This window comes from Homo sapiens, chromosome 1 (assembly GCF_000001405.40).
Source record: "Homo sapiens chromosome 1, GRCh38.p14 Primary Assembly".
In the NCBI taxonomy this organism is placed as follows: Eukaryota; Metazoa; Chordata; class Mammalia; order Primates; family Hominidae; genus Homo; species Homo sapiens.
The window spans coordinates 233,738,067-233,744,297 of NC_000001.11; positions in this window are offsets into that span (position 1 = coordinate 233,738,067).

Sequence of the window (6,231 nt, forward strand, 5' to 3'; positions counted from 1 at the left end):
AATGACTATTTTTCTTTCATTTATTTTTCCCATGAACAGTAATTGCACATATGCTATATACCAAGCACATTCTGGGCATCAGGGTACAGCAGTGAGTAAGACAGATAGGGTGCTTGCACTTATGGACAACCTTCTTGTACTACCTATGCAAATGTTTAATTACATTTCACTCAAATGTGTACTGAGTGTCTACACAGGCGCTGGTTTAAGTGCTAGGGACACAGTTGTGAACAAAATAGACCCCTCTGCTCAGTAAGTGATACTTTTAAGTGAAGAAAACCTCATGAAAAAGGCAGCATTTCTTTCCCTGCTAAAGTCCCTGAATATTTTCGCCACCTCATCTCGTCTGAATCCTTGTATGATAGCCGGAAAAATAGAAATAAAATAATTCCCTTTTAGGGTTTACGCTGTCACCAAAGGTTTCAATAGAGGGGAAAATTCAGAGAATGCTTAGTCCAATTCCTTTGTATTATATTTGTAGACACAGAGATCCAAAAAGGTTGGAAGTCGCCCAAAATCTCTACCTTATAACACAGCCAACACTAGAATCCAGATTTCCAGATTGCCAGCCCCGTATGCATTCTCCTAGGTCCAACTACTCACGTGAGAATAGCTGCTAAGGCCATATTTACCATAAATGCTGAGCGAATGAGCTTTAAAATAAGAATGGACATGATAATTCATAGGAAAAAATGTTTTGAATAGAAATTAAATATAAGAAAATTAGCCAGGAAGTTTGTATCAGAAACACGGTTATTCACAGCAAATGTTAATGATCAAAACTTAAAACTGGAAAATCATCATGGTTTGACTGTTTCTTATAGAGACAAAAGGTAGCCAAGAGTCCCTGGCGAAACCCCGCCTCCAAGTCTAAAACAGCCGGAAGGCGGAAAAACCGTACTGTGGGTCCCGGATGACTCCCGCCCCTTCCCGTCTGATTCTGAATAATGCCCACCCACGGGCTGGGAGGATGGGGTGGAGCCTAGGGAAGTTAGCATCGTTTGCCCAGGGGAGGAGCCTGGCCTCTCACATTCCTGCGTGGTGACCTGGGATTCAATCTGTGAGGCGGGAAACCTGCTAACATGACTCTTTCTCGCTTTGCTGAGAATTATTTTTCCTTTTTTTTTGAACAGTACATTCCATTTTCCTCACCCTTCTGTGTGTCCACGAGCCTAACCTTTCCTGGTCGTGTGACAAGAGCCTGGTTTTAGCCGAACTAAGAAGAAACTTTTGCAACATTTCCTGAGCGATTGATACTTGGTTGTGAGAAGGATGTTTGGGGATTCTTTGATTCTAGAATTAAGTCATTACCAATAAGCGATCATGCCTAGTATTAAAGCTTTGTAAAGCTATGTTCTTGGGTTTGAGAGAGGTTATTATTTGTTTATTTGCTTATTTTAAAAATTACTTTAGGAGATGGACATGTCACGGAATGCGGAGTTAGTAGACAAACACCTGAAGCTTCCTTAGAGTCACCTAGAATGACAACATTTGCTATCCAGGGTCCAGAATTGTAAGGCCTAACTCAAAACTTGTATAGGAAAGGAAAAGGCTGAAGGAAGATGGATGCTCAGATGTGCGTTTTAGGCTTCAACTCAGTTTCGGGGACACTGGGGAAACCATTCCAAGCAGAGAGCTGCCCCTCTTGGAAAATGGATGGTAAGTGGGGCGAATCTGAGGGATTGTGGAGCTGAACTGCAGACTGACAAGTGAGCATCCATGCCATGGCCTGTGGTAGAAGCAGCACATGCAGTTGTCCCGAGGACACTACCCTCTTCACTACACCAGAATATCTGTGCCCTTCAAGGGCGTGGCATCCTGCTTTCTCAAGCCATAGAATGCACTTACGCTTCAGGCCAGGCACGGTGGCTCACGCCTGTAATCCCAGCACTTTGGGAAGCCGAGGCAGGTGGATCACCTGAGGTCAGGAGTTCGAGACCAGCCTGGCCAACATGGTGAAACCCTGTCTCTACTAAAAATACAAAAAAAAAAAAAAAAAAAAAAATTTCCAGGCGTGGTGGCATGTGCCTGTAATCCCAGCTATTTGGGAGGCCGAGGCAGGAGAATCACTTGAACCCGGGAGACGGAGGTTGCAATGAGCCAAGATCCTGCCACTCTACTCCAGCCTGGGCAACAAGGCAGAAGCTCTGTCTCAAAAAAAAAAATGCATTTATGCTTCAAGGGAGATGATATGGCAGAAGCATCAGCCATTCATAATTTAATTGTTACATAACTTTTAAGTACTTCATTGGGATAAAATAAAATACACCCATTTAAGCATACTACTTAGTGAATTTTGACACACATGTATACCTGTGGAATCACCACCCATAGAGATGTTAAAACATTTCCACTACCCCAGAAAGTTTCCTCACCTGTTCTTTTGGTCAGTCCTCTCATTAGAGTCAATTACTATTCTGTTTCCTAATAATATAGCTTAGTTTTGCCTGATCTAGAACTTTCAAAAAATTGAATCAAACGTTACACACTTCTTTGGGGGCCTGGTTTCTTTCACATAACATAATGCTTTTTACGATGCATTCATGTTGTGTTGATAGTTTATTGCTTTTTTATTGCTGAGTAGGATTCCAAATGAAAGCCATTCACTTGCCCTTTTAGTAGTTTCTAAATTTTTGGCTATTATGAATAAAGCTGCTATGAACCTTCTTTCTGTTTCACAAGGCTTTTCAGAGTCATGTCTTTTCACTTTTTAATTTTTGAAGAAATATGTAAGAGTGGAATTGCTAAGGCAGAGAATAGATATATGTTTGACTTTCTTGGGTAAATTGTCAACATTTCCAAAGTGGTTGGGTTAATTTACACTCCCACTAGCAATGTATGAGAATTCCATGTGCTCTGTATCCTACTAACATTTGAGGTAGTCAGATTTTTGTTTCTGTTTCTTTTACCATTATACTGGTGGATAGTGGTATCTCATGGGGGTTTTACCAAGCATCCTCATAATAACTAGTAACTCTGAGCATCTTTTCATGTGCTTACAAACATTTCATATTGTTTTTTGTAACGTGTTCATTTTAAGTTCTTTGCTCAATTGACATTGGGTTGCTTGCCTTTTAAATATACATATATCTATGTATAGATCTATATCTCTCTATATCTATATCTATATCTATGTCTATATCTATATCTATATCTATTTTTGAGACAAAGTCTCACTCTGTTGCCCAGGCTGGAGTGCAGTAGTGTGATCTTGGCTCACTGCAACCTCTACCTCCTGAGTTCAAGTGATTTTCCTGCCTCAGCCTCCCTAGTAGCTGGGACTACAAGCGTGCACCACCACACCTGGCTAATTTTTATTTATTTTTTATTTTTTTATTTTTATTTTTTTTTATTTAGTAGAGACATGGTTTCACCATGTTGGCCAGGCTGGTCTCAAACTCCTGACCTCAAGTGATCTGCCCACCTTGGCCTCCCAAAGTGCTAAGATTGCAGATGTGATTCACCCCACCAAGCCTAAATATTGATTATAGGAGTTCTCTATACATTTTGGATATATATTCTGGATATATTCCTGAACATATGTCAGATACATGTATTGCAAGAATTTCACTCTGTGTCTCACCTTTTATTTTCTTAATGGTGTCAAAAAAGATATTTTTGATTTGATGAACTGCAATTGACTAATAATTTTTATTTTACAGTTAGTGCTTTTGATGGCCCACCTAAGAAATTTTTGCCTACTCAAAGCTGCATAGATAGTCTCTGCTTTCATCTATAAGTTTTCGAGCTTCATGTTTAAGCTTATGATCCATCCCCAAGTAATTTTTGTTCATAGTCTAAAATAGAGATCATGGATCACATTTTCCTATATGTTTATTTGATTATTGTAGCTTTGTTTGTTGAAAAGACTTTTGTTTTTGAATTGCCTTGGTGCCTTCTTTTGTTGAAAATTAATTGAATATGTGAGTCTATTTCTGGACTCTTCCAGTAGCATTAATCTACTTGTCTGTCTTATATCAGTATCAAACTATCTTAAATACTGTAGTATTATAATTAGTGCTTAAATCAATTGGAGTAAGTTCTACTGAGTTCTTTTTCAAGATTCTTTTGGCTAATTTAGAACCTTAGCATTTTCATATACATTTTAGAATGAACTTAATAGCTACCAAAAAAAGCTACTGGGAATAAGGTAGTGATTGTATTGAACCAGTAGCTTTGGGGAAAATTGACATACTAAAAATACTGCCTTTCAATCCATGATGTTATATATGTCCTTTTACTTAGAGCTTTTTAAAATTTCTCTCTACACTTTTTGCACGCATTTTGTACTTTTTAGCATACAGGTCTTGCTTGTCTTTTGTTAATTTTATTCTTAAGCATTTAATTTTTAAATAATTTTATAAAAGGTACCACTTTTAAATCTTAATCTCTAATTGTGCCTATTATGTAGAGTGCAATAAATTTTTTTATCTTGACCTTGTATCATGCAATCATGTTAAATTCACTTAATTCTAGTGGTTGCTATGTAGATTTCTTAGCATTACTTATGCACATGACCATGTCATCTATGAATAAAGTTTATTTCTATTTTCTAATCTTAATGCCTTTTATTTATTTTCCTTCTCTTTTACTGATTAGGATCCCATTCCACTCTTGAATAGAAGTTATGGAATTGGATATACTTATCCAAAGATTGTTCCTGGTCTTTGGGCAAAGCATTCAATAGTTCACCATTTTGTATGATGTAGGTTTTCATAGAGGTTCTTTTTTTTTTTTTTTTTTTTTGAGACAAGGTCTCCCGTGTCACCCAGACTGGAGTACAGTGGCATGATTGTGGCTCACTGCAGTCTCAAACTTCTGTACTCAAGCAAACCTTCTGCATCAGCCTCCCGAGTAGCTAGGACAATAGATGCGCGCCACCATGGCTGGCTAATTTCTTTTGTAGAGACAGGTCTCGCCGTGTTTCCCAGGCTGGTCTCAAACTCTTAGCCTCAAGTGATTCTCCCAGCTCAGCCTCCCAAAGTGCTGGGATTACAGGTGTGAACCATTGCACCAAGGCTCAAATTATTTTCTAATTTGTCTTGTGATTTCTTCTTTGACCTATATCAGTTATTTAAAAAATGTGTTGCTAAATTTCTAAATATTCTTCAATTTTCTAGATATCTTATTATAATTTAATACCATTGTGATCACAGAGCATACTCTGTATTATTTTGATCCTTTGAAATGTATTTCATGATCCAGCATGTAATCTATCTTGGAGAATGTTTCAAGTGAATTTAAAAAGGATGTTTACTCTCCGGTTGTTGGGTGCAATGTTCTATAAATTTCAATCAGATCAGGTCGATTATTAGCGCTGCTAAAATCTTTTATATCCCTATTGGTTTTTCTAGGTAAGTGCTCTATCAATTACTGAGATAGGTGGGGTTTTAAAATATCCCATCATAATTGTGTGATTGTTCTTTTCTCCCTTCAGTTCTGCTGATTTCTGCTTTGTGGCACACTTATTAGATGCACAGGCATGTAGGATTTTTGTCATCTTCTTAATGAATTCAGCCTTTCATTATTACTAAAGACCCCTCATTGTTTTAAAGTCTATAATGTTAGGTATTAATATAGACACAGCAGCTTTCTTTTGCATAGTGTTTTAAATTTTTAAAAATTTTCCTGGTGATTTCTTCTTTGACCCATGAGCTTCTTTTGAAGACTGTTGCTTCCTTTCAAATGTCCTTATTATTGATTTCAAGTATAATTATGTTGTAATCGAAGAATATATGTGTTATATGAATTCAGTCCTCTGAAATTTACTGGGACTTATTTCATTGCCCAACATAGGGTCTATCCAAGAGATAGACTGGAAAAGACCCTGATCTTGTTGTATGGGCATGGTTTTAAGCTTTGTTAGAATAGGTCTTTATTTTTCCTTTAATGCTGGGGATAGGGCAAATCTTTTAGTCATGACATGACAGCTTTTCTCGTCTAAGGCATGTCTTTTCTGACGTCTAATAAAAAGCAAGATGCGTTTCCCAAGCCTTTATAACTAAACTGGACACAAACTGAAACTTGGTTTCCAGAAACTACTATTCAGCAACTCAGCCTTTCAGAGTGAATTCTTTGATTTATTCCACAGACATGTAGTTCAGCTGTCAGTCAAGGACTAGGGGCTCCCCTTCCCTTAGTTTTTTTTCTATTCTAGGATTTTCTTCCTCTGTTTTCATTTCCTGACTCCTTAGGCCAATGCAAGTGGACTTTTCTACTTGAGTTCTGTTT